The sequence below is a fragment of the Homo sapiens genome, chromosome 11 (genome assembly GCF_000001405.40).
Source record: "Homo sapiens chromosome 11, GRCh38.p14 Primary Assembly".
In the NCBI taxonomy this organism is placed as follows: Eukaryota; Metazoa; Chordata; class Mammalia; order Primates; family Hominidae; genus Homo; species Homo sapiens.
The window spans coordinates 3,752,366-3,778,473 of record NC_000011.10 but is presented as its reverse complement, the minus strand read 5'-3'; the positions used below and the strand labels follow the sequence as shown (position 1 = coordinate 3,778,473).

Sequence of the window (26,108 nt, the reverse complement as noted above, 5' to 3'; positions counted from 1 at the left end):
GAAGAGACTAGAGCAGGAATGACATAATGGACGTGACATGGTTACTCCTCCATTCTTTGTCCATGGCAGATGTTTTTAGTTGATGACTTTTTTCACTTTAAGTCCAAACATGACTTGGGGATACTTCTCCACACAGCACTGTACTTTGAGCCAACCACTGCTAGTTCATCAGGTATGCTTTATCAAGTGATTCCATTCCTGGCACAAGAGTATGGAAGAATGAATAGCCAGCCATCAGTATTTTCTTTCTTTCTTTTTTTTTTTTTTTTTTTTTTGAGATGGAGTCTCGCTCTGTCACCCAGGCTGGAGTGTAGTGGCGCAATCTCGGCTCATTGCGAGCTGTGCCTCCTGGGTTCATGCCATTCTCCTGCCTCAGCCTCCCGAGTAGCTGGGACTACAGGCGCCTGCCACCATGCCCGGCTAATTTTTTTGTATTTTTTGTAGAGACGGGGTTTCACCATGTTAGCCAGGATGGTCTCGATCTCCTGACCTCGTGTTCCATCTGCCTCGGCCTCCCAAAGTGCTAGGATTACAGGTGTGAGCCACCGCGCCTGGCCTGCCATCAGTATTTTCCAGAGGGAAAGTTGTTTGTATAACATTGAAATATTTAGCCATAACAGTATATAATGCAGTCTGAAGTACTAATTCAAAAGAAATGTGCCTGTTTGCTTTAAACTATATATTAAGACATGTTTTAGAAAGAAGTAATAGCAGTTTGCCAGTGATAAATCATAGTACTCTTTAACCTGGTAATTAGGATGTTACTAATTCTAAATATTGGCATATAAATTTCTTTGCTTAGTGACATTTCTGGCACCATATGTATAACTTCTTTTTTTTTTTTTTTTTTTTTGAGACGGAGTCTTGATCTGTTACCCGGGCTGGAGTGCAGTGGCGCAATCTCTGCTCACTGCAACCTCCGCCTCCCCAGTTTAAGCGAGTCTCCTGCCTCAGCCTCCCGAGTAGTTGGGCCTACAGGCGCCCGCCATCACGCCTGGCTAATTTTTGTATTTTTAGTAGAGATGGGGTTTCACCATATTGGCCAGGCTGGTCTCGAACTCCTGACCTTGTGATCCACCCGCCTTGGCCTCCCAAAGTGCTGGGATTACAGGCGTGAGCCACCGCACCTGGCATAACTTCTTTAGAAGTAGTGTCTCTCATACTTTCAGCAATATATTCCTTAGCAACAATTAAATTCATTTATGTGTAATTTTTTTTTAAACTCAGCTTTTTGGAAAAGTAAAGTAATCCAAGGATTTGCTATTTCTTTATTAGTTTCTGTAAAGTAATTGACAGTGGCTGCTAATTTTTCTGAAATTTTGGGGGGTGAAATTTTACATTAACCTATATTTGATTTCTCTAATAGGACCACTTGTATATTCTAAAGTTTTTGGTTATGTGTAGGTATATGTTATAATGTATGTAAATAAAATGTACTGTGACCACTCTTGAAGTCTGTGACAAGATGTTTTCAGAAAGACAAGTTCATTCAGCATGTAGTTAAATGAGAAAGGGAGAAATGAGATAAAATTTATGATGAAACAAAGTATTTCTTTTAAGTTGTCTTCCAAGTGTGACCTTAGGGCTTTATGGACACTTAGCTGACCAAAGGATTCAGACTTTGTTTCACTTGAAAGTTGTGAGCCTGGAAGTACGTATCTTTCTGTATGAATTTCTATTTGGGCCGGGCACTGTGGCTCACACCTGTAATCCCAGCACTTTGGGAGGCATAGGTGGATGGATCATGAGGTCAAGAGATCGAGACCATCCTGGCTAACACAGTGAAACCCCATCTCTACTTAAAAAAAAAAAATACAAAAAATTAGCCGGGTTTGGTGGCGGGCACCTGTAGTCCCAGCTACTCAGGAGGCTGAGGCAGGAGAAATGGCGTCAACCTGGGAGGTGGAGGTTGCAGTGAGCTGAGATCACGCCACTGCACTCCAGCCTGGGCTACACAGCGAGACTCCGTCTCAAAAAAAAAAAAAAAGAAATTTCTATTTGAATATATTTGCTTGGGAGACTTGAAAGGTGAAAAATTTCAGGATATGAGATCAGGTGCAGTGGCTCACACCTGTAATCCCAACACTTTAGGATTTCGAGGTAGGAGGATTGCTTGAGCCCAGGAGTTTGAGACTAGCCCGAGCAACATGGCAAAAGGCAGTCTCTACAAAAATTAAAAAAAAAATTAGCTGGGTGTGGTGGCGCATGCCTGTGGTCCCAGCTACTTGGGAGGCTGAGGCAGGAGTATTGCTTGAGCCTGTGAGGTCAAGGCTGCAGTGAGCTGTGATTGCACCACTGCACTCCATCCTAGGAGACAGAGCAAGACCCTGTCTCAAAAAAAAAAAAAAAAAATGAAGTACTGTGATGCTAGTGCCATAGCCCAATTCCAATGCATCTTATACATTCTTAAATTTCTTACTGTTATCGTCTCATTTTTCTTTCTTATTTTTAGATTTTGGAACCAGTACTAGCAGTGGAGGACTCTTTGGAACCACAAATACCACCTCTAATCCTTTTGGCAGCACATCTGGCTCCCTCTTTGGGCCAAGTAGTTTTACAGCTGCTCCTACTGGGACTACTATTAAATTTAACGTATGTATTTTCTTCCAATCTTTGTGGAATGTTTTTTCCCGCATGTATATTTCTTTGCAGGATGAATTGTAAAATTGCTTCTCTTTCCAGCTTAGCTTGACACTGCCTGAACGATGTGTTAAAAACAAAATCTATAAATAGTTGTATAGTAGACAGGAACACTTGTGAAATGTAAATCTAGATTACGATGTATATTTGAATTAGGCTCATCCCAATAAAATTTGTATTCATAAAACTTTATTATAATCTGGTGTAAGGTAGAATTTGAATTTACTGTGTTAAGAATTTGCTTCTGAATGGTCAACTGTTCAATTTTCTTTTTTTTTTTTGTTATTTTGTTTTTTTAAGATGGAGTTTCGCTCTTGTTGCCCAGGCTGGAGTGTGGTGGTGCAATCTCAGCTCACTGCAACCTCTACCTCCTGGGTTCAAGTGATTCTCCTGCCTCCGCCTCCTGAGTAGCTGTGATTACAAGAGTCCACCACCATACCCAGCTAATTTTTTTGTAGTTTTTTGTAGTAGAGATGGCGTTTCACCATGGTGGCCAGGCTGGTCTCGAACTGCTGACCTCAGGTGATCTGCCCACCTCTGCCTCCCAAAGTGTTGGGATTACAGGCATGAGCCACCATGCCCGGCCTGGTCAACTAATCTTTATGGGAATAAAGAATAGGGGGCAAATAAGAGTAACTCATCAGCATTCTGTACCCACTGAAAAATACAGGTTTTGTTGATGAAATGGCTAAATGGGGCTGTAAAGTTTATTGTGTATGTGTTCTTTTTTTGAGAGGGATTGGGTGGAGGGCTAGAGTGGAGGATTTTGTTTACAGAAACATGTGGAATGCCACTTGATGTAAATGTTTGGGGGATTCTTAGGGTATGCTGGAGGTGCAGTTAGCCTAATGGAAATCTTTGGCAGAAATAAAACTTGTTAAAATATACTCCAGAAAATGAAGAATTTGTCAGGTAAATTGGTTAATTCATAGTACTAAATTTACAACCCCGAATTTGAAGTTAAAACATAAAATGATAGTGAAGAATACTGTGTGATGCCCTTTGGAAAGTGCAGTAGTTGAGAAAACTGGCAATACCAGCAGGAATCGTTAGTTTTACTTATTGTGCCTTTTTCCTTGTAATGTTATCGGGGAAAAACAGGTTTCCATATTTCTTTTTTTTTTTTGGAGACAGAGTCAGCCAGACGGGAGCGCAGTGGTGCAATCTTGGCTCACTGCAACCTCTGCCTCCTGGTTCAAGCGATTCTGCTGCCTCAGCCTCCCAAGTAGCTGGGATTACAGGCACCCACCCAAGCTAATTTTTGTATTTTTAGTAGAGATGGGGTTTCACCATGTTGGCCAGGCTGGTCTTCAACTCCTGACCTCAAGTGATCCACCCGCCTCGGCCTCCCAAAGTGCTGGGACTGCAGGTGTGAGCCACTGCGCCTGGCCAGTTTCTGTTTTTTTGTTGTTGCTGTTTTTTGAGATGGAGTCTCACTCTGTCGCCCAGGCCAGAGTGCAGTGGCACGGTCTTGGCTCACTGCAACCTCCGCTTCTCGGATTCAAGCGATTCTCCTGCCTCAGCCTCCTGAGTAGCTGGGACTACAGGTGCACGCTACCACGCCTGGCTCATTTTTATTTTTTATTTTTTTATTTTTTAGTAGAGACGGGGTTTCACCATATTAGCCAGGCTGGTCTCGAACTCCTGACCTCATGATCCACCCGCCTCGGCCTCCCAGAGTGCTAGGATTACAGGCGTGAGCCACCGCTCCTGGCCCTCCGTATTTTTTTAATGCAGCATTACAGGGCGGAGTAGAAAGGAGAACTTAGATATAGAGGTTTAAAGGTATATATTGGGTAAAGCTTTCTTTATGCATAATATTACATGTATTTTACCATGTAATTGGATGGCTTGGGTTATGGGATTAATCCCTGCGTTTGTGATTACTTTGTTACTAAGATCGATTTATTCAGATAACCTTGATGTAGGGAGAGATCAGAAATGGCAGTATATTTAATCAAGCACCCTTGAAACCATCTCAGTATAAAAGACCTGGGGGGACTAGTTTTAGAGTTCAGTGGTTGAGAAATTGTATCTGAGAGAGTAGGAATGTAAAACTTGGACCTACAAATTTGCCTTTATTTAACTTTGCAGCCTCCAACTGGTACAGATACTATGGTCAAAGCTGGAGTTAGCACTAACATAAGTACCAAGCACCAGTGTATTACTGCTATGAAAGAATATGAAAGCAAGTCACTAGAGGTCAGTAAAATACAATACAGAATGTCAGTCTAACCTTTTGATTTTATTGGAATGCAGCTTTTAAAAATGGTTTTGATTTTCTTTAGGATAGAGTGGTTCAGTTTGGGTTTATGTAAAAAATTAACATTAACCAAATTATTTTTAAAAATCAAGTATTATTTATAGATATCTACTTGTTTAGGCAGGGATAATATTCAGGGGTATGTGAAGGTCTAGCACCCCTAATGGTCTTTTTTTTTTTTTGAGATGGGCTTTTTTGCCCAGGCTGGAATGCAGTGACACAATCACAGCTCACTGCAGTCTCAGCTTCCCAGGCTTCATGTCCTTAGCCTCCGAAGTAGGTGGGACCACTGGCATGTGCCCCACGCCCAGCTAATTTTTAAAAATTTTTTTGTAGAGGTGAGGTCTCACTATGTTGCTCAGGCCGGTCTCAGACTCCTGAGCTCAAGCGATTTTTCTTCCTCAGCCTCCCAATGTGCTGGGATAACAGGCATGAGCCACTGAGCCCAGTCTAATCATCTGTTCTGATTGGATGTTGCTTCTGTTACACTGGGCAATGTGTATGCATGCATATGAAGGTGTTTTTAGTAAAATTATGCAAAGTACAGCTTAATAAAAGTTGGTTTTTTTTTGTTTTTTTTGTTTGTTTGTTTTTGAGACAGCATCTCACTCCGTCACCCAGTCTGGTGTGCAGTGGCACATCTTGGCTCACTACAACCTCCACCTCCTAGGTTCAAGCAATTCTCGTGCCTCAGCCTCCCTAGTAGCTTGGATTACAGGTGTGGGCCACCACACACAGCTAATTTTTTTTTTTTTTTTGAGACGAGTCTTGCTCTGTTGCCTAGGCTGGAGTGCAGTGGCGTGATCTCAGCTCACTACAATCTCTGCCTCCTGGATTTAAGCAGTCTCCTGCCTCAGCCTCCTGAGTAGCTGGGATTGCAGCTGCACGCCACTATGCCCAGCTAATTTTTGTATTTTTAGTAGAGATGGGATTTTGCTACGTTGGCCGGGCTGTTCTTGAACCCTGGCCTTGTGATCCGTCCACCTCAGCCTCCCAAAGTGCTGGGATTACAGGCATGAGCTGCAGCACCCAGGCACATTATGTACTTTTTAATGGCTGTCTTTGAACATTGAGATAGTCATCCATGTTGTTGCATGAAGTTAGTTTGTTCATTCTTATTGCTTATGTAGTAGGTTGTTGTACATTTTGATAGTCATTCATGATTATAGTGATTGCTTCTTTCTACATACCAAACTATGCTTACTTTATTGGGCTGTGCCAGGAACATCCGGACTTGAGACAAAATTGATAAACTTTATTTTCTAAATTTTTTGCCCCACAGAATCTACATATGTTAATTCACTATAATTTTTATTTTTATTTTATTTTTATATTTTAGGGCTGGGGAGAGTTAGGATTATTTTATGACATTTTACCAAAAGAGTGTATTGTTTGTGAAAGAAAACTGAGATTAAGATATTGACTCTTTGGCTTGTAGTTTTATGATAATTATGGTATGGATTTTAGTGTCTATTGGAAATGTTTTTCTGTAATGATATAATGTCATTCCTTAGTTTTCTCTTTTTTAGTTATGGTTCCTATGTGAACATAGAACTTGAATACTAAATTCAAGTATTTAGCCTCCTAAATAATTATTTTTAGCTGCATGTTAAGATTAGAAATATGTTTTCCCTCCCTTCAGGAACTTCGTTTAGAGGATTATCAGGCTAACAGGAAGGGCCCACAGAACCAGGTGGGAGCAGGTACCACAACTGGCTTGTTTGGGTCTTCTCCAGCCACTTCCAGCGCAACAGGACTCTTCAGCTCCTCCACCACTAATTCAGGCTTTGCATATGGTCAGAACAAAACTGCCTTTGGAACTAGTAAGCACTTGATATCATGTTAGATTATACTGAGGAGAGACAGATAACTAAAACTAAAACATAATTGCCATTTTGGGATAAGTGCTATGGAGAAAAATAATAATTCAGGGATACCATAGGAATAGGGAGGAATGCCTGGATGTATGTGGGGAAAGGGAGAAAGACAGTTTAAGATGAAGACGACTAAGGAATGCTTCAGAGGAGAAGGTGATGTTTGAGCAGTGACGTATCTGAAGAAGATGAAGGAGCAAGTTGTACAGATTTCTGGGGGAAGAACATTCCAGCTAGTGGAAACTGAGTCTAAAAACTCTGAGTTTTTGCCATTTGAAGAGAGGGCAAGGGAAAATACTGGGGGATATAGGGGCCATATTTTATACGACTTTGTAGGCCAATATCAAGACTTGAATTTTTATTTGATTTAGGAAATCCTGAAAGTTGTTTTGAAAGAGAAGTCATGTGATTGTGAGTGAAGGATGATTCTGAAGTCTCCTATATTGACAGTAGATTGTAAGAGTAGAAACAAATTACTTAGAAAGCTATTATCAACATAAGAGGTGTTAGTGTCTTGGACAAGGATGGAAAAGAGGCCAAGTGTGGTGGCTCACGCCTGCAGTCCTAGCACTTTGGGAGGCCAAGGCAGGTGGGTTGCTTGAGGTCAGGAGTTCAAGACTAGCCTGGCCAACATGGTAAAACCCTGCCTCTACTAAAAATATGAAAATTAGCCAGGCGTGGTGACAAGCACCTGTAATCCCAACTACTTGGGAGGCTGAGGCAGGAGAATCGCTTGAACCTGGGAGGCAGAGGTTGCAGTGATCTGAGATCACACCATTGCACTCCAGCCTGGGTGACAGCAAGACTCCATCTCTAAATAAAAAGGACGGAAAAGAAAAAAGATGAGGTTCTGGACCCAGTTTGATTATAGAACTGATGGAATTTGCCGATGCATTGGTTTAATGTGGGATGTGAAAGAGGAGTTAAAGATGATGATTACTTGACAAAAATACTACTTTTGCAAAAGTAATGCACATATGTGATACAAAGTTCACAAAATACAGAAAACTAAATAACCAGAGGTTATATACTTGCCTTATACACTTTCCCCAGCCACCAGTTTGCCTCTGTAGAGAAAAGCAAAAATTATAGCTTTTCATAGCCTTCTAAAGAGATGTACATACACACACACACACACACACACACACAAATACGTATTTATCTAAGTTATATTTAACCTACTTTTTCTTTTCTTTTCTTTTCTTTTCTTGAGACAGGGTTTTAGGGTCTTACTCCCGTCACTCATGCTGGAGTGCAGTGATGTGATCAGGGCTCACTACAGCCCTGATTTCCTGGGCTCAGGTGATTCTCCTACCTCAGCCACCCTACAGGCATGTGCCACCACACCCGACTAATTTTATTTTATTTTTTTGAGACGGAGTCTCACTGTTGCCCAAGCTGGAGTGCAGTGCAACCTCCAATTCCCAGGTTCAAGCGATTCTTCTGCCTCAGCCTCCCAAGGAGTTGGGATTACAGGCACCCGCCACCATGCCTGGCCAATTTTTTATATTTTTAATAGAGTTGGGGTTTCACCATGTTGGCCAGGCTGGTCTCGAACCCCTGACCTCAGGCGATTAACCAGCCTCGGCCTCCCAAAGCGCTGGGATTATAGGCGTGAGCCATGGTGCCAGCCCTAATTGTTTTTTTTTTTTTTGAGATGGAGTTTCGCTCTGTCACCCAGGCTGGAGTGCAGTGGTGTGATCTCGGCTCACTGCATCCTCCACCTCCTGGGTTCAAGCGATTCTCTGCCTCAGCATCTGAAGTAGCTGGGATTACAGATGCCCACCACCATGCCTGGCTGATTTTTTTGTATTTTTAGTACAGATGGGGTTTTACCGTCTTGGCCAGGCTGATCTGAACTCCAGACCTTATGATCCACCCGCCTCGGCCTCTCAAAGTGCTGGGATTACAGGCATGAGCCACCATGGCTGGCCGTCCAGCCCTAATTTTTAGCAGGGACGGGGTTTCACCATATTGGCCATGCTGGTCTCGAACTCCTGATCTCAGGTGATCACCCGTCTCAGCCTCCCAGTGTGAACCACCATGTCCAGCCTAACGTACTTTTCAATCTTGATATTCCATGATTTAGTTTAGTATGCTTTTTTTTTTTTTTTTTTTTTTGAGACAGAATCCCACTTTGTTGACCAGGCTGGAGTGCAGTGGAGCAATCATAGCTCACTGCAGCCTTGAACTCTTGGGCCCAAGTAATATTCCCACCATTCTGCCTGGCTAATGTTTCATAATTTTTTCTGTTTTTTTGGTGGGGGTTGGAGGACACTGTCTAGCTCTGTCACCCAGGCTGTCGTGCAGTGGCTCCATCACAGCTCCCCGCTGCCTCAAACTCCCAGGCTCAAGCCATATACCCACCTCGGTCTCCCAAGTAGCTAAGACCACAGGCAAGTGCCATTAGCCTGACTAATTTTTAAAATTTTTTTGTAGAGATGGGGTCCCATTGTGTTGCCTAGGCTGTTCAGGAACTCCTGTCCTCAAGTGATCCTCCTGCCTTGGCCTCCCAAAATGTTGTTATTACAGGTGTGAGCCACTGTGCCTGGCCCATATTCATTATTGAATATTACATATCAGACTCTGGGCTGGATATATTCATGTAAAGAAGAAGCCTTTGTTCTCATTAACCTAGACTAGCAAGGTTAAAATACACATGCTGACTTCTAGTGTATTATCTTGTAAAACAGAAGGAAGCTGTGGACTTACAAGGGAAGATCATTTAGCCTAGTTAAGCTTCTTGGGGTAAGGATGTTATTACAGAAGTTAAAGTTTAAATCTAGAGTTAAGTGAAGGATGGAAAACGAAAAGATGATCAAGTAGTGAATGAAGGGTAGTAGATAACATAAAGACTATTACAACAACTGGATAATGGAAGGTTTTGTATTTTTGGGTGTTTACATTTTTTTTATTATTTCTTTTTTCTTTTTTTTTTCTTTTTCCTAAAAGGTACAACTGGATTTGGAACAAATCCAGGTGGTCTCTTTGGCCAACAGAATCAGCAGACTACCAGCCTCTTCAGCAAACCATTTGGCCAGGCTACAACCACCCAGAACACTGGCTTTTCCTTTGGTAATACCAGCACCATAGGACAGCCAAGCACCAACACCATGGTAAGGAAACAGACCCTTACTTACCTCCATGTCTTATTTTTAGAGTTAAGTAATGAGGATTCTAATCATGTCAAACTAGCAAATTCTACCTGTACTGCAAATCTTAAGAGTTGAGGGTATTTAATGAAGGGAAGAGAACAAAGTTTTTTTTTTTTTTTTTGAGATGGAGTCTCGCTCTGTCACCCAGGCTGTAGTGCAGTGGCCCAGTCTCAGCTCACTGCAAGCTCCGCCTCCCAGGTTCATGCCATTCTCCTGCCTCAGCCTCCCGAGTAGCTGGGACTACAGGTGTCCACCACCATGTCCAGCTAATTTTTTGTGTTTTTAGTACAGATGGGGTTTCACCGTGTTTGCCAGGATGGTCTCGATCTCCTGACCTCGTGATCCGCCCACCTCGGCCTCCCAAAGTGCTGGGATTATAGGCATGAGCCACCGTGCCCGGCCAAGAACAAAGTCTTAGAATAATTAAGACCTAGATTCTAGCCTGGGCTCTACTCTTTACTTGTTGAGATGCTATTGAGGCGATCACTTATCCTTTCTGAAAGTATTTTTCTCATTACTAAGTAGGAACTACTTAGTGGGCTGGACTTGGCCCTCTTAAAGCTATACCTTGGAAAATTGACTACAGCCATTCTATAGGGTATAGGAGAAAATACTTATTCATTACTGACTATATTTCAGAATATAGCCAACAACAGGAACTAAGGGAACGTTCACCTAGTTCCCTTGGGAATCATACAAAGAAGTTTTTTTGTTTTTTTTTTTTAAAGGGAGACCTACGACTTAGAGCCATACTGTGTCCAAAGAAAAGGTCCTCATGGTCATTACTAGTTTATTTCTAGGGACATTTTTTAGGGAAGTATGAAATTAAAGAAGGAAGTGATGTATGAGTAATTGATCAGGACTTGGAATTTACCTCGTCTTAAAATTAGAGATACTTTTACTGATTAAAAAACAAGTATGGGCTGGGCACAGTAGCTTATGCCTGTAATCCCAGCACTTTGGGAGGCCAAGGTGTGAGATCAGGAGTTTGAGACTAGCCTGGCCAACATGGTGAAACCCCGTCTCTGCTAAAAATACAAAACTTAGCCAGGCACAGTGGTTGGTGCCTGTAATCCTGACTACTTGGGAGGCTGAGGCACAAGAATAGCCTTGAACCCAGGGGGAGGCAGAGGTTGCAGTGAGCTGAGATTGCTCCATGGCACTCCAACCTGGGCGACGAAGAGAGACTTCATCCCAAAAAAAATAAAAAAAAAAGTATGCTTGTACCGCCATGTCTTCAAAATACTAGATGACTGATTTCAGTAACATATGAAAAGGATCAGCCGGGCATGCTGGCTCCTGCCTGTAATCCCAGCACTTTGGGAGGCTGAGGTGGGCGGATCATGAGGTCAGGAGTTCGAGACCAGCCTGGCAAACATGGTGAAACCCCGTCTCTACCAAAAATACAAAAATTAGCTGGGCTGGGTGGCGGGTGACTAATCCAAGCTACGCAGGAGGCTGAGGCAGGAGAATTGCTTAAACCCAGGAGGCAGAAGTTGCGGTGAGCCGAGATTTTGCCACTGCACTCCAGCCTAGGTGACAGAGCGGGACTCTGTCTCAAAACAAACAAACAAACAAAAAAGGATCATAATCCATGACTAAGTGGGATTTATCCGAGGAAGGTTGGTTCAACATATGATCATTAATCATTGTAATACACTGTGGTAATATAATTTAAACAACAGAAAACCACATGATCACCTTTGTAAATACAGAAAAAACATTTGACACTTTTTCATGATAAAAACACTGAAGAAAGAATAAGAAGGAACCCGGAATAGCCAAAACAATCTTGAAAAACAACAAGTTGGAGGACCCTCAGGCTTCTCTCTTTTTTTTTTTTTTTTTTTTTGAGACGGAGTTTCACTGTTGTCGCCCAGGCTGGAGTGTAATGGCACGATCTCAGCTCACTGCAGCCTCTGCCTCCTGGGTTCAAGGGATTCTCCGGCGTTAGCCTCCCACATAGCTGGGATTGCAGGCATGCACCACCATACCCAGCTAATTTTGTATTTTTAGTAGAGCCGGGGTTTCACTATGTTGGTCAGGCTGGTCTCAAACTCCTGACCTCAGGTGATCCACCCACCTCTGCCTCACAAAGTGCTGGGTTTACAGGCATGAGCCACTGCGCCTGGCCTTCATGTTTCTCAATTTTATTTTATTAATTTTTTTGAGACAGGCCTCGCTGCAGTCACCCAGGCTGGAGTGCAGTGGCATGATCTCAGTTCACTGCGTCCTCCGCCTCCTGGGCTAAGCGATCCTCTCACCTCACCTCCCAAGTAGCTGGGACTACAGGCGTGCACCACCATGTCCAGCTAATTTTTGTAGTTTTTGTAGAGATGGGTTTTCATCGAGTTATCCAGGCTGGTCTCGAGCTTCTGGGCTCGAACAATCTGCTCTCCTTGGACTCCCAAAGTGCTGAGATTACAGGTGTGAGCAGCTGTACCTGGCTTTACTTCTCAATTTTAAAACTTACTATAAAGCAATAGTAATTGTGTTACTGGCACAAGGAGAGACATAGACCAATTGAATAGAAGTGAGAGTCCAGAAATAAACCCTCACATTTGTAGACAATTGATTTTCAACAAGGATACCAAAACAATTCAGTGAGGAAAGAATAGTCTTTTCAACATATGGTGCTGGGACAACTGGTTATTCACATGCAAAATAATGAGGTTGGATTCTTCACAGCATTTTTTAACTGCAAAAGTTAAAATTGATCAATTTTTTTTTTTTTTTTTTTGAGACAGAGTCTTGTTCTAATTGCCCAGGCTGGAGTGCAGTGGCACGATCTTGGCTCACTGCAACCTCTGCCTCCTGGGTTCAAGCGATTCTCCTGCCTTGGTCTCCTGAGTAACTGGGATTACAGGTGTGCGCCACCGTGCCCGGCTAATTTTTTTATATTTTAGTGGAGACAGGGTTTCACCATGTTAGGCAGGCTGATCTTGAACACCTGACCTCAAATGATCCGACTGCCTCAGCCTCTCAAAGTGCTGGGATTACAGGTGTGAGCCACTATGCCTGGCCACAAATTGATCAGATTTCTAAGTGCAAGACCTAAAATTATAAAACTGTTAGAAGAAACCTAGTTAGACAGTAATATCTTAGATAGGACACCAAAAGCAAAAGCAGAAAAGAAAAAATAGATAAGTTGGGCTTTTTCAAAATTAAAACCTTTTAGCCAGGCCTTTTAGTACATGCTTGTCATCCCAGCTACTCAGGAGGCTGAGGTCGGGGAATCATTGAGGTCATGAGTTAGAAGCTGTGGTGCACTATGATCGTGGCTATGAATAGGCCACTGCACTCTAGCCTGAGCGACATAATGAGACCCTATCTCTAAACAAACAAAGATGGCAGAAAAACATTTATATATCAAAGGGATATCATCAAAGTGAAAAGACCTGTAAGTGGAAGAAAATACTTGAAAATCATACATGTGATATAGGACTTGTATCCAGGATGTATAAATAACTCTTATAATTCAGTAGTAAGACAATAACTCATTTAAAAAGGGCCAAGGATTTGAATTGACATTTCTCCAGAGAAGATATGTAAGTGGTGTGATAATATGCTTAACATCATAAGTCATCAGGGAAAGGCAAATGAAAACCAAAATGAGATAACCACTTTATACCTATTTGAAAGATACAATAAAAAAAGACTAACAGGCTGGGCGCGGTGGCTCACGCCTTTAATCCCAGCACTTTGGGAAGCCGAGGCAGGCAGATCACGAGGTCAGGAGTTCGAGATTAGCCTGGACAACATGGTGAAACCCCGTCTCTACTAAAAATACAAAAAATTAGCCGGGCATGGTGGTGCCCACCTGTAGTTCCAGCTACTCAGGGGGCTGAGGCAGGAGAATCTCTTGAACCCGGGAGGCGGAGGTTGTGGTGAGCCGAGATTGTGCTACTGCACTCCAGCCTGGGTGACAGTGTGAGACTCAACAAAAACAACAAAAAAATACAGTAGTAAGTATTGAACCTGGAGAAGTTGGAACCCTCATACATTGCTGGTACAGCCCCTTTAGAAAACAGTTTGGTGGTTCCTCAAAATGTTAAACAGAGTTACGATATGACCCAGCAATTGCACATCTTGGGATTTACCGAAGAAAAATAAGACATAGACTTGTACACAAGTGAACATAACAGCATTATTCATAATGACTAAAATGTAGAAATAACCTAAAGATCTATTAACAATGAATGGGTAACCAATTGTGGTATATGCATACAATGGAATATTGTTCAACCATAAATTGGAATGAAGTACTAATATATGCTACAACACAGATGAACCTTGAAAATGTGCTAACTGAAAGAAGCCCGTCACCAAAGACCACATTTTTTATGACTCCATTCACATTAAATGTTCAGAATAAAAAAAAAATCCATAGAAAAAGATGAATGGTTCCCTAGGGATGGGGAGTAATCACTGATGGGTCTGGGATTTCTTTGGGGGGTGTAAGAATTTAGATAGTAGGGATGGTTGCAGAACATCACGGAATAGTCCACTGTAAATGAGTGAATTTTATGATGTTTGAATTGTGTCTCAATAAAACTTTAAAAAGTGAATTCCCTATTCAGCAAGTCTATTAGCACAATATTTTTCCTTTATTAATGCATAAGTAAAATACATTGTTAAACATAGGATGATGCAGACTGCTCATTGGAAATGAGTATAGTTTCTCATTTAGAATTAAGGCTTTTGGCTGGGTGCAGTGGCTCACGCCAGCATTTTGGGAGGCTGAGGCAGGTGGATCCCCTGAGGTCAGGAGTTCGTGACCAGCCTGGGCACATTGTGAAACCCCATCTCTACTAAAAATGCAAAAATTAGCCAGGCCTGGTGGCGTGCCCTTGTAGTCCCAGCTACTTGGGAGGCTGAGGCGAGAGAATCACTTGAACAGAGGCTGCAGTGAGCCGAGATTGTGCCACTGTACTTCAGCCTGGGCAACAGAACGAAACTCCGTATCAAAAAAAGGAATTAAGGCTCTTTAACATAACACTCGTACCTCGGTCCGTGTTGATTTATTTTCGCTGATTATTTTTGGTTACTTGATTCTAAGTTCACTCCCCAGCTTGATACTGATTAGTTCTTTTCACCTAAATCGTTGAAAATGAAGGACCTAGACATACTATTTTGCTTCTCAGTGTTGCAACCCTGACATCTCTTAGAGCACAAGAGTTAAAGTCTTATTATTTAATAGACGCCTAAGACCTTGGAGTTCATCATCCTGGGAAGAACAGGGGCTTAAATATAGGTTTGAACTTCTGTTCCTACCATTCAGGAGCTGTGGCACCTTGGGCAAGTTTTAAAATGCTCTGAGCTTTTTGAAAAATATACTCCCTGCTTTTCAGGGTTGTTTTGAAGGAAATAATCTATATAAGTTATTTAGCCTAATATCTGTCATATAAGCTTGAAAAAATGGTAACTTTTTTTTTATTACTCTGAGATTCGTTACGGAAACTATTACAGGATATCTTTTAATCTATATAAACTTCTTTGCAGGGATTATTTGGAGTAACCCAAGCCTCACAGCCTGGAGGTCTTTTTGGGACAGCTACAAACACCAGCACTGGGACAGCATTTGGAACAGGAACAGGTCTCTTTGGGCAGACCAATACTGGATTTGGTGCTGTTGGTTCGGTAGGTTTCTGCAGTTGACTGTAATTTGAAGATGTGTGTAAATTTGTTAAAAGGAATTTTCTTCTAAGGATTTGACTGTTTTGCAGGTATTTTTATTGGGTGTATTATTGCACCAGCCTAATATGATTTGATTCTGAGAACAAAAAATTATTTGATATAAAATGAAATTTCAGGTTAACTTCAGGTTTGTTTTCAATTAGTAAATTCTTTCCCTTTTAAAATTTCTTTGCCTCAGTGCTTATGTGCATCATACTTCTGATAGCATTGGTTAAATTGTTGAGTCTAAATTGAAATTCTTTTGCTTTATTTGAATCAGATAATTTTTAACTCCTAGTTCTTCCCTCTTTTGTAGGTGATAAATTGGTATGATGTTTGGGAATGAAATGTTTTTGGGGTTGATCAAATTGTTGAAATTGTTGAGGTACTCATGGAAGAAACTTTGAACTTGCTATTGTGAGTAGGTTAAAAAAATTAAAAAAGAGCCAGGCGCGGTGGCTCACGCCTGTAATCCCAGCACTCTGGGAGGCCGAGGTGGGTGGATCACCTGAGGTCAGGAATTCGAGACCAATCTGGCCAACATGGTGAAACCCCGTCTCTCCTAAAAATACAAAAAAAAAAAAAACCACTAGCTGGGTGTGGTGGTGGGTGCCTGTAATACCAGCTACTTGAGATGCTGAGGCAAGAGAATCACTTGAACCCAGGAAGTGGAGGTTGCAGTGACCCGAGATCGCGCTATTGCACTCTAGCCTGGGCAACAAGAGCAAAACTCTGTCTTAAAAAATAAAAAAGGAACACAAAGTCCCTAAAACATATGGTCCTGTTTTCATGGAGATTGAAATTTCTCTTTTCTTTTTTTAAACTTTGGACAGATAATTGAGGTAAGAAATTGAGAAAATTATATAATGCTTCAAGACATTCTAGTACTTCTGTTGTTGTTGTTGTTGTTGTTGTTGTTTTTGAAACCGAGTCTCGTTCTGTTGTCCAGGCTGTACTGCAGTGGCATGATCTCGGCTCACTGCAACCTCTCCCTCCCAGGCTCAAGCGATTCTCGTGCCTCAGCCTCCCAAGTAGCTGGGATTACAGGCGTGTGACACCATGCCAGGCTTTTGTTTTGTTTTTTGTTTTGTTTTGTTTTGTTTTTTTGAGACGGAGTCTCGCCTGTTGCCCAGGCTGGAGTACAGTGGCGTGCGATCTCGGCTCACTGCAACCTCTGCCTCCCGGGTTCAAGCAGTTCTCTGCCTCAGCCTCCCGAGTAGCTGGGATTACAGGCGCCCGCCACTGCGCCCAGCTGATTTTTGTATTTTTAGTAGAGAATGGGGTTTCACCATGGTGGCCAGGCTGGTCTCGAACTCCTGACCTCGTGATCCACCTGCCTTGGACTCCGAAAGTGCTGGGATTACAGACGTGAGCCACCACTCCTGGCCTTAATTTTTGTATTTTTTAGTAGAGGTGGGATTTTGCCACGTTGGCTAGGCTGGTAACTCCTGGCCTCAAGGATCCTTCCGCCTTGGCCTTTCAGAATGCTGGGATTACAGGCGTGAGCTACTGTGCCCGGCTTCTAGTACTTTCTAGTGACAGATTTATTGATGTATAGTCCACATGCCATACAATTTGTCTCTTTAAAGTGTATAGCTAGGTGATTTTTAGTATATCAACAAAGTGTGCAACTATCACCATATTTAATTTTAGAACATACTCATTATGCCAAAAAGAAATGCCATAGTCATTGGCAGTCACTCCTGATTTTCCTGTAATCATCTTAAGCCTACTTTCTCTCTATGGATTTGACCATTTTGAACACTTCATGTAAATGGAATCATAATATGTGGTCTTTTGTGATTGATGTCTTTCACTTAGCATAGCATTTTCAAGGAACATCCATGTAGCATGTTCAAAGTTTTTCTTGTAGTGATTTCTTCTGGCAAAGCAAGTATTTGCTACATTTCTCTTAACAGGTAAAAAGATATTTGATGGCCTTGTTATTTTTTTCTTTGCCTCACTGAAATCTGGTTTCATTGGATTCATTGTGTTTCAGTCGTAATCCTTAGGGGTTACCATTAACTTTTCAGGCCAGAAGCATTCCGTGTTTATAAAGTTAATCTTGCCCAGATTATTTTTTGATAGCCTTTATTCATCTTTTTTCTACCTTTTTTATGAATGTTAGGACATCTTTCTCCCACCCCATACCCAACCCAGTATACCTGAGGTAACCTGTATTTAGTTTGGTGTGTGTCTTAATATTATTTTAAATTTTCCTGTATTCTATTCTTTTTAGACCCTGTTTGGCAATAACAAGCTTACTACATTTGGAAGCAGCACAACCAGTGCACCTTCATTTGGTACAACCAGTGGCGGGCTCTTTGGTAACAAACCAACCCTGACTTTAGGAACCAATACAAACACTTCTAATTTTGGTACATATAAAAAGCAGGTTTGGCTCTCTTAAAGTTACACTGACTATACCACACGTTATTCTCCTGATTCGTATGATTGGAAATATTTAAAAGTTCTCAGGTAAGCGGTAGCTTGATGTGAAGTACCAGAGGGAAAGGTTTAAAGTCCTGGATATGGCTTGAGATAATTAGTAGGCATGTAAATTGCCTTTCATTTACTTTGGATTACTTCAGCAATAGCTGAGAAACCATAAAGGAAACACATTTGGTTAAGTAACACATTGTATGAGGCCAGGTTTCAAACCTGTGGTAGCATACAGAAGATAATTGGTTATTCTTATTTTTGTCGTTGTTGGTTTGTTGTGTTGTTTTGTTTTTGTTTTTTTTTTTTTTTTTGGTGGAGAACAGGGTCTTTATATCGCCTTAGCCTCCCAAAGTGCTGAGATTACAGGTGTGAGCCATTGCACCTGGCCTGGTTATTCTTAGTGAAAGTCAAAATATGCCAGGCATCATGGTGAGCACCTGTAGTCCCAGCCATTATGGAGGCTGAGTCAGGAGTATCACTTAGGAGTTCAAGGCTGCAGTGTGCTATGATCACACTTGTGAATTGCCACTGCATTCCAGCCTAGGCAACATAGTGAAAGTAGGTCTCTAAAAAAAATAATAAAATAAGAAAAATAATAGAAGAAAGTTGAAACCTTTCTGATTTGGGGGATTATTCAGTAGTTTATTTTTTACGGTTTCAAAAATTTTGAATGCATGTTCATAGTATGTATATTCATTGTTGAAAATCTGGAAAATACAGAAAAGATTGAACAATAATTTTCAAAACCTTAACCTACTGGGAAAAATGTAAACCAGTTTTATGGAACATGATGATATTATTTTATTTATTTATTTATTTATTTTTGAGGTGTAGTCTCTGTCACCCAGGCTGGAGTGCAGTGGCATGATCTCGATCTTGGCTCACTGCAAACTCTGCCTCCCGGGTTCAAGCGATTCTCCTGCCTCAGCCTCCCGAGTCGCTGGGAATACAGGCACGCACCACTGTGCCTGGCTAATTTTTGTGTTTTTAGTAGAGACAAGGTTTCACCATGTAGGCCAGGCTCGTCTTGAACTCCTGAGCTCAAATGATCTGCCTGCCTCGGCCTCCCAAAGTGCTGGGATTATAGGCATGAGCCACCACACCCAGTCAATATTTTCAATATATCTTATAACTACCTAATTATGTTTTCAAAATTCAGCATCTGTCAGATCAGATATGGGAAGTTTATTCTGTTTGTCGAGGGAAATAGTGGTTCAAGTATTTCTTGAGGATTTTGTGTGCCAGATACATCACTAGGCACTGATAGATTCTTTTTAGGAGTTGAGTACAAAGACATGGTTATTTGGTGTAGGTCAGCAGTTAACAGTTTTTTAATGAGCTTTTGAACGATCCTGTACTGGAGAAAGAGATCATATTAAACATCTATTGGAAGATTAATATGTTTATCAACTACAGGAAGAAGGTAGATAGTTCATTGATAGGTACCAATTCCTAAATTGATGTGTTTGGTTTGATTTTTATAATCCCTTTTAGTCATTTTGCTCATTCACTGCCAGAAATGATTATAGTTCCTATAAACTCTGTTTGAAACAACCGTTTTGAGGCAGTGGACTTGGTTACCATGGGTAAGATACTTGGTGTCTGTCTCTCTCTGTCTCTGTCTCTGTCTCTCTGTCTCTCTCTGTCTCTCTCCCCTCCCTCCCAGGCTGGAGTGCAATGGCACAATCTTGGCTCACTGCAACCTCCACCTCCCTGGTTGGAGTGATTTTCCTGTCTCGGCCTCCTGAGTAGGTGGGATTACAGGCGCCTGCCACCATGCCCAGCTAATTTTTGTATTTAAAGTAGAGATGGGGTTTCACCGTGTTGGCGAGGCTGGTTTTGAACTCCTGACCTCAGGCGATCTGCCCTCCTCGGCCTCCCAAAGTGCTGGGATTACAGGCGTGAGCCACTGCACCCATCCCTACTTATTTCTTTCCTATAAAATTAAAATGGAAAGATAGTTAAGGGTCAGTTAGCGTTTCTCAACCTTTTCTATTATCACTTACCCTTCCCCATGGACCGTTTGTAGACTATTTTTTCATTTTTAAGTTGTACCTGCTGTAATGGGACTGTTTTTTCTTTTTTCTTTCTTTTTTTTTTTTTGAGACGGAGTCTCGCTCTGTCTCCCAGGCGGGAGTGCAGTGGCCAGATATGGGCTCACTGCAAGCCCTGCCTCCTGGGTTCACGCCATTCTCCTGCCTCAGCCTCCCGAGTAGCTGGGACTACGGGCACCCACCACCACCCCCGGCTAATTTTTTCTTTGTATTTTTAGTAGAGACGGGGTTTCTCCATGTTAGCCAGGATGGTCTCGATGTTGTGACCTCATGGTCTGCCGGCATTGGCCTCCCAAAGTGCTGGGATTACAGGCGTGAGCCACCACGCCTGGCCTGTTTTTTCTTAATCATCATCTCCCTTCCCCTGAGATTTTCATACCACGCATATACTGTGTATCTGCTTATGTTGTGTGACTCTCTGGAGGGCCACAAACTATCATAATCTGTGATATTTTAGTCCCTCAAGAACCAATTTCCACTCCCTTTGAAAATGTGTGTTTTTAATAAAGCTCTTTTTTTTGTAGCATGCTTCATGTTCAAAATTAAATATTATTTCTTTTCTTTCTTTTTGAGACGGAGTTTCGCTCTTGTCACCCAGGCTGGAGTACAGTGGCGCGATTTCAGCTCACTGCAACCTCTGCCTCCTGGGTTCAAGCGATTCTTCTGCCTCAGCCTCCCAAGTAGCTGGGATTACAGGCATGCACCACCACGCCCAGCTAATTTTTGTATTTTTAGTAGAAACAGGGTTTTACCATGTTGGCCAGTCTAGTCTGGAACTCCTGACCTCAGGTGATCTGCCAGCCTCGGTCTCCCAAAGTGCTGGGATTACAGGTGTGAACCACCACGCTCGGCATTTTTGTTTTGTTTTGTTTTGTTTGTTTTTTGGGGAGACAGGATCTCTGTCTCCCAGGCTCGAGTGTAGTGGTGTGATCTCAGCTCACTGCAACCTCCGCCTCCTGGGCTCAAGTGATCCTCCCACCTCAGCCTCCTGAGTAGCTGGGACTACAGGCATGCACCACCACACCTGGCTAATTTTTGTGTTTTTGTAGAGACAGGGTTTGCCATGTCACCCAGGCTGGCCTCGAACTCCTGAGCTCAGGTGATCTGCCTGTCTTGGCTTCCCAAAGTGCTGGGATTACAGGCATGAGCCACTGCGCCCAGCCCGTTATTTTTATCTGAACACTATAAGGGTGTTTGTATAGGCTACACTTGATAAAATATATATATATACACATATAGATATAGATATAGATATATAGATATATATATATATTTTTTTTTTGAGATGGAGTCTCGCTCTGTCGCCCGGGCTGGAGTGCAGCGGCACGATCTCGGTTTGCTGCAAGCTCCGCTTCCCGGGTTCACACCATTCTACTGCCTCAGCCTCCCAAGTAGCTGGGACTGTAGGCGCATGCTGCCACGTCTGGCTAATTTTTTTGTATTCTTAATAGAGACGGGGTTTCACCATGTTAGCCGGGATGGTCTCGATCTCCTGACCTCGTGATCCGCTCACCTCGGCCTCCCAAAAGGTTGGGATTACAGGCGTGAGCCACTGCGCCCAGCCGACAAAATTTTTTTAAAGATATATTTGATGTTATATGTGATGTATATTAAGATATATATGATGTCTCCCCAAAAAACAAAAACAAGCCGAGTGTGGTGATTCACGCCTGTAATCCCAGCACTTTGGGAGACCGAGGCTGGCAGATCACCTGAGGTCAGGAGTTCGAGATAGACTGGCCAGCATGGTAAAACCCCATTTCTACTAAAAACACAAAAATTAGCTGGGCATGGTGGTGCATGCCTGTAATCCCAGCTACTCGGGAGGCTGAGGCAGAAGAATCACTTGAACCCAGGAGGCAGAAGTTGCAGTGATGGTTGCAGATTTCTGATTTGCTTAGAGGTTTTTTTTTGGTGTGCGAATATATTTACAGTCATCTTCAGTGATATGAAAATGAAAGGTGTCATCTTTATCTGAGTTGTCTCACCAACTTGTGTGCCGAATTTGAATTGTCTTTTTAATTGTAATTTGTAAAATTGAATTTTACAAGTCGATAAACTTGTCAGTGAGAATCGGAGGAAATGTGTGGTATAAACAGTGTAAGTTGGGATTTATTTCCCTTCTGTGGGTTTGAGATAGTTCACGAGTGTCTTGTTTTCTGCTGCTTATGGGACTGTAAGATCCCTTTTGATTAAATTTTTATTCAAAAAGGAAAAGAATATCTCCAAGTACATTTTTTGTGTTTTCATCAAGGAAAATTGATGATGCTTGAGTAGGCAGCACCCCATTTTTGTGGCATAGCTATTAGAAGAATTAAAGAAGAGATTCAATGAATGTCTAAGTCAAATATATTGCGATTAAGTCAGGTTACTTGATTGGATTTTATTTCATGTATTTATTTTTTTCGAGATGGAGTCTTTCTCTGTCACCCAGGCTGGAGTGCAGTGGCGTGATTTTGGCTCACTGCAACCTTCGCCTCCCAGGTTCAAGCAGCTCTCTGCCTCAGCCTCCCAAGTAGTTGGGATTATAGGCGCCTGCCACCACACCCGGCTAATTTTTGTATTTTTTGGTAGATATGGGGTTTCACCATCTTGGCCAGGCTGGTCTTGAACACCTGACCTTGTGATCCACCTGCCTTGGCCTCCCAAAGTGGCGGGATTACAGGCGTGAGCCACTGCGCCCGGCCTGCTTGCTTGAATTTTAAAATGACATGAAATACGATTGTTTTTAAACTTTTATATTCTTCAGCTTTCTTCTTGATTTTTTTCATTGAGATAATAATCCAAATACTGGCACAACAAAGTATAATATTAGTGATACTTTCATCTGTTCTAAAATAGTCTCTTTATTCTGTTTGTTATCTTTTTGGGCTACTTTTTCCTCCATGATTTTTTTTTTCTTTTGGAGACGGAGTCTTGCTCTGTTGCCCAGGCTGGAGTGCAGTGGTGTGATCTCAGCTCACTGTAACCCTCTGCCTCCTTGGTTCAAGCGATCTTCCTGCGTCAGCCTCCCAAATTGCTGGGATTCCAAGCGTGCACCACCACAGCCAGCTAATTTTTTTTTTTTTTTTCGTGGTAGTAGAGAAGAGGTTTCACATGTTGGCCAGGCTAGTCTTAAACTCCTTTCCTCAAGTGATCCACCTGCCTCTGCCTCCCAATGTGTTGGGATTACAGGCGTGAGCCATCATGCCCAGTGCTTTATGACTTTTAAATGACTTCATATGTTCTGCAAACAGGGTTTTCTGGCTAATGATTTCTTTTCTCTCATGAGAAATTAATGACATATTCATTAATTGTTTTGTTGATATTTATTTACAAAAAGAATAATGAAACTGTGGGCATAGATGAAGAAAAGAAAAGTAATGGCAGCAGTACAGAATAGGATCTTTGTTTGATACCTATGGATTTTTTTTTTTTTTTTTTTTTTTGAGATAGTGTCTCGCTATGTCGTCTAGGCTGGAGTGCAGTGGTGCGATCTCGACTTACTGCAGCCTCTGCCTCCCGGGTTTAAGCAATTCTCCTGCTTCAGCCTCCCAAGTGGTTGGGATTCTGGGTGTGCACCACCACACCCAGCTAATTTGTGTATTTTTAGTAGAGGTGGGGTTTCTCCATGTTGGCCAGACTGGCGTTGAACTTGTGAACTCCAGTGACCTGCCCACCTTGGCCTCCCAGAGTGCTGGGATTACAGTTGTGAGCCACCGTGCCTGGCTGATACCTGTGGATTTTAAAGGGAAATTATAGGATTTTGTTTAAATGGTGGGTCATAGTGAAGAAGACTTCTCACGTGTAATCAGCTACACGTTACTATCCTGGCTAGGTTCATCTATTCAAAATAAAAGCTACTGTGGAAAGTTTTGTAAGTAATTTTTTTCTTAGCAAGGACCTTTAGGTTCAGTTAAAGTGTCTTTGTTGATTGTTTTATTTTTATTTTATTTTGTATTTTTTTTGAAACAGAGTCTCACTCTATCCATGCTAGAGTGCAGTGGCACGATCTTGGCTCACTGCAACCCCCGTCTCCCGGGTTCAAGTGATACTCCTGCCTCAGCCTCCCAAGTAGCTGGGTTTATAGGCATGCGCCATCATGCCCGGCTAATTTTGTATATTTTGTAGAGACAGAGTTTCACCATGTTCCCCAGGCTGTTCTCGAACTCTTGACCTCATGATCCGCCCACCTTGGCCTCCCAAAGTGTTGGGATTACAGGCGTAAGCCACCACACCTGGCCAGTTGTTTCATTTTTTTTAGTACAAGTTAGGGGGAATTAATTTCTCTTCTAAATAAACTTGAAACTTGCATTGAAAGCTTTGGGCCTTACAAAGGCAATGTTCCCAAAGCTCAAGTGTGTTCACTTTGCTTGAATATTGATATTATCCTATATTGAATTGATATTTCTTTATTTTATTTTATTTATTTATTTATTTTTATTTGTTTTCGAGACAGAGTCCTGCTCTGTTGCCCAGGCTGGAGTGCAGTGGCGCAATCTAGGCTCACTGCAACCTTTGCCTCCTGGGTTGAAACGATTTTCCCACCTTAGCCTCCCGAGTAGCTGGGATTACAGGCACGCACCGTCATACCTGGCCTTTTTTTTTTTTTTTTTTTTTTTTTTTTTTTTTTTTGTATTTTTATAGAGACGGGGTTTCACCATCTTGGCCAGGCTTGTTTTGAACTCCTGACTTCAGGTGATCTGTCAGCCTCGGCCTCCCAAAGTGCTGGGATTACAGGCGTGAGCCACCGCGCATGGCCTTTGAATTGATATTTCAAGGCTGAAATGTAATTAAGTAAATATGAAGACTTGTTTGCATATGTGAAATTTTTTTTTTAAGTTATCCTACAAGTTAGGAGTCCTAAATATTAACTGAAAGGTTCACAACTTAAAGTCAGACTGCTTTGTGTTAAACTCCCTTATAGAGGAAATTGAGAGTTATATTAAAAGTACAATCCACTCATTCTTTTGTCTTCCTAGGTTTTGGCACAAATACCAGTGGGAATAGTATTTTTGGAAGTAAACCAGCACCTGGGACTCTTGGAACTGGGCTTGGTGCAGGATTTGGAACAGGTAAGAAACTGCTACCATGAGATCTAGGAAGTGACACAGCTTGACTTTCTAGTTTCTGGAACTTGAGAGATCTGTTTGATTATGTTACTGGAATTAAGAAGTCTACCTTTTCGTTTTTCCAGTTGCGTTTATAAGACATTCCCAGCAGTTATGCTTTACCAGGCTTTAAAATATTGGCATGTTTGTGTTAGAAGCTGTATGCTCCCTTTTCTACAAAATGTCCTCTGATAGTCCTGGTCTTTTTGGGATTTTTAGTATTTAATGTGAGAATTGTCATGAGGACATTAACTTTCAGTTTCCCCATGTTACTTTTGTAACAGGGATTTGAGACCTTAAACTGTTCATCAAAGTAAGCCCTAATAGAAAGGCAGAGCAATAAGAGCACATGCTGATGTAATTCTCCTTTGCAAGGAGAATTTCATTTAGTTCCATTGTCATATAGACCAGTGTCACCCCTTTTCCCTGATTCCTACTGTTAACAACTATTTTTCAGTGCCTTTGAAGATACTGACCCTTCTACCTGCCCAGCTGTTTTTAAACAGCTGGAGCGTGATGATGGTCATAAAATATATAAGTGTTTTAGCATGTACAGTAAAACTAGGTTGTTTAGTTAAACATAGAGTTTTGCCTACTTTTTCAATTCGTTTGACTGCAGGTGTGGTCATTTAGTTGCAAACCATTTCCATAGTCTGCTTCCACTGTCCAGTTAATCTGTTTTTTTTTTCCCCTTCTATCATCTGAGCATTCATCTGTCATTTCCTTCTTTTTTATTTATTTATTTATTTATTTATTTATTTTGGAGATGGAGTCTCACTCTGTCGTTCAGGCTGGAGTGCAGTGGTGCAGTCTCAGCTCACTGCAATCTCTGCCTCCCAGGTTGAAGCAATTCTCCTCCCTCAGCCTTCCTAGTAGCTGGGATTACAGGTGTGTATCACCATCCTTGGCTAATT

General features: G+C 41.9%; 1 protein-coding gene across 12 annotated transcripts in view, besides 2 other annotated features; it reads left to right on the top strand.

Moving 5' to 3' along the window:
* Nucleotides 1-26,108, top strand: part of NUP98 (nucleoporin 98 and 96 precursor) — a 122,545-nt gene that overhangs the window by 19,081 nt on the left and 77,356 nt on the right. For 7 of the 12 annotated variants that reach the window (NR_157590.2, NR_157589.2, NM_001365129.2 and 4 more), the window contains exons 5-11: nucleotides 2,453-2,592; nucleotides 4,735-4,842; nucleotides 6,546-6,726; nucleotides 9,730-9,893; nucleotides 15,435-15,572; nucleotides 17,848-17,935; nucleotides 25,066-25,158. Coding sequence is in view for 9 of the 12 variants with exons in the window: in NM_001365129.2 (NP_001352058.1) it covers nucleotides 2,453-2,592; nucleotides 4,735-4,842; nucleotides 6,546-6,726; nucleotides 9,730-9,893; nucleotides 15,435-15,572; nucleotides 17,848-17,935; nucleotides 25,066-25,158 (912 nt within the window). In the remaining 3 variants the exon portion in view is untranslated. Of the gene's footprint in view, nucleotides 1-2,452; nucleotides 2,593-4,734; nucleotides 4,843-6,545; nucleotides 6,727-9,729; nucleotides 9,894-15,434; nucleotides 15,573-17,847; nucleotides 17,987-25,065; nucleotides 25,159-26,108 lie in introns of all 12 variants that reach the window. The other 5 variants (NR_157591.1, NM_001365126.2, NM_005387.7 and 2 more) reach the window with 3 other exon arrangements.
* Nucleotides 25,159-26,108: part of a biological region, named in NCBI's record as "nucleoporin 98kDa recombination region", that runs on past the window's edge. NCBI's record gives its function as "recombination_partner: LOC106865368 | LOC106992256 | LOC107105350 | LOC107126281 | LOC107126288 | LOC107126359 | LOC107133509 | LOC107133517 | LOC107133518 | LOC107195252 | LOC107197952".
* Nucleotides 25,159-26,108: part of a mitotic recombination region, noted in NCBI's record as "NUP98 (NSD3) recombination sub-region within the nucleoporin 98kDa recombination region recombines with the NUP98-NSD3 recombination region", that runs on past the window's edge. NCBI's record gives the evidence for it as "EXISTENCE:nucleotide sequencing assay evidence [ECO:0000219][PMID:11986249]" and "EXISTENCE:Southern hybridization evidence [ECO:0000078][PMID:19380029]".